The sequence below is a fragment of the Homo sapiens genome, chromosome X (genome assembly GCF_000001405.40).
Source record: "Homo sapiens chromosome X, GRCh38.p14 Primary Assembly".
NCBI lineage: Eukaryota > Metazoa > Chordata > Mammalia > Primates > Hominidae > Homo > Homo sapiens.
The window spans coordinates 1,678,109-1,680,191 of NC_000023.11; the positions used below are offsets into that span (position 1 = coordinate 1,678,109).

At 48.1% G+C, this 2,083-nt stretch overlaps 1 annotated feature.

The window, feature by feature from the left end:
* Positions 611–1,178: an enhancer, noted in NCBI's record as "OCT4-NANOG hESC enhancer chrY:1747612-1748179 (GRCh37/hg19 assembly coordinates)". NCBI's record gives its function as "activates a minimal SCP1, AML or CMV promoter by ChIP-STARR-seq in naive and primed H9 embryonic stem cells {active_cell/tissue: H9 hESC(naive and primed)}" and the evidence as "EXISTENCE:reporter gene assay evidence [ECO:0000049][PMID:30033119]".

The window sequence follows — 2,083 nt, forward strand, 5'->3', positions numbered from 1 at the left end:
TGGCATGGTGGCAGGTGCCTGTAATCCCAGCTACTCAGAAGGCTGAGGCAGGTGAACTGCTTGAACCGGGGAGGCGGAGGTTGCAGTGAGCCGAGATTGTGCCATTGCACTTCAGCCTGAGCAACAGAGCGAGATTCTGTCTCGAAAAAAAAAAAAAAACGGCCGGGCGCGGTGGCTCACGCATGTAATTCCAGCACTTTGGGAGGCCGAGGTGGGTGGATCACGAGGTCAAGAGATTGAGACCATCCTGGCCAACATGGTGAAACCCCGTCTCTACTAAAAATACAAAAATTTGTCCGGCATGGTGGTGCATGCCTGTAACCCCAGCTACTCGAGAGGCTGAGGCAGGAGAATTGCTCGAACCCGGGAGGCAGAGGTTGCAGTGAGCTGAGATCGTGCCACTGCACTCCAGCCTGGGCAACAAGAGTGAAAACTCTGTCTCAAAAAAAAAAAAAAAGATATTGGGACACAGACACACACAGAGGGATAATCCTATCAAGATATAGGGAGAAGGCAGCCATCTGCAAACTGTAAATCAAAAACTATGTGAGACAGATCTCATCAATATGGACATTTATTGTGCCAAGGTTAAGGACCGTGGCCCGTGACACGGCCTCAGGAGGTTTGGAGAATTGCCCAAGGTGGTTGGGTTACAGCTTGATTTTACACATTTTAGGGAGACAGACGTTGCAACAAACACATACATCCATACATGGAAGGCGTACATTGGTTTGGGCCAGAAAGGTAGGACATCTCTACGTGGGCGCCTCGGGGTCATATGTGGATTCAAGGATTTTCTGATATGCCGTTCAATTTAGCAGAAAGAAATGCCTCAGTTTACATGATGGGGGTTGTGGAAGACAAGGTTTTTGTGATGTAGATGAAGCCAGCAGGTAGCAGGCTTAGAAAGAATGGATGGTAAATGTCTCTCTGTTTTGTTTTGTTCTTGTTTTGAGACAGAGTCTCGCTCTATCACCAGGCTGGAGTGCAGTGGCACAATCTCCACTCTCTGCAACCTCCGCCTCCCAGGTTCAAGCAATTCTCCTGCCTCAGCCTCCCAAGTAGCTGGAATTACAGGCACCTGCCACCCAGCCGGGCTAATTTTTGTATTTTTAGTAGAGATGGGGTTTCACCATGTTGGCCAGGCTGGGGTAAATGTCTCACATCAGAGGTTAAAAGCTGTCGGACTCTCCAGGGAAGACGTGATGAGAGAAGAGGATTGATATGGTTTGGCTGTGTCCCCACACAAATCTTACCCTGAATTATAGCTCCCATAATTCCTACATGTCTTGGGAGGGACGTGGTGGGAGGTAATTGAATCATGGTGCAGGTTTTTTCCATGCTGTTCTAATGAGTGACTAAGTCTCCCGAGATCTTGTGGTTTTATAAAGGGGAGTTTCCCTAACCAAACCGCGTCTTGCCTGCCACCACGGGAGACGTCCCTTTGCTCTGTGTTCATCTTCCACCATGATTGTGAGGCCTCCTGCAGCCATGTGAAATGGTGAGTCCGTTAAAGCTCTTTCCTTTATAAATGACCCAGTCTCAGCCATGTCTTTATTAGCAGAATCAGAACAGACTAATACAGGGAATCTTTCCCTTCTTTCCTTTTTTTTTTTTTGAGATGGAGTGTGACTCTGTCGCCCAGGCTGGAGTGTAGTGGCTGGATCTCGGCTCACTGCAACCTCTGCCACCGGGGTTCAAGAGATTCTCCTGCCTCAGCCTCCCAGGTAGCTGGGATTACAGGCACCTGCCACCGCGCCCGGCTGATTTTTGTATAGGGATTCTTTACAGAATGCAAATTTCCCCCACAAGAGATGGCTTTGCGGAGATGTGCCAAGATAAGTGAAAGACAATATATTTTGCAGAAAAATATGCTGATTCCTTCAGGGCCTGCTATCTGTCCTTTGATGCCATACCAGAATTAGGTGGGAATTTGGTATCTTATTGGTAGAAAGGGTCTCTTTGATCAGTCTTGTCTCAAAAAATAAAGAAATAATTAATATAGAAAACTGTTCTCTTTAGACCAGGCTCGTGGCTCACGCCTGTAATCCCAGCACTTTGGGAGGCCGAGGCGGGCGGATCA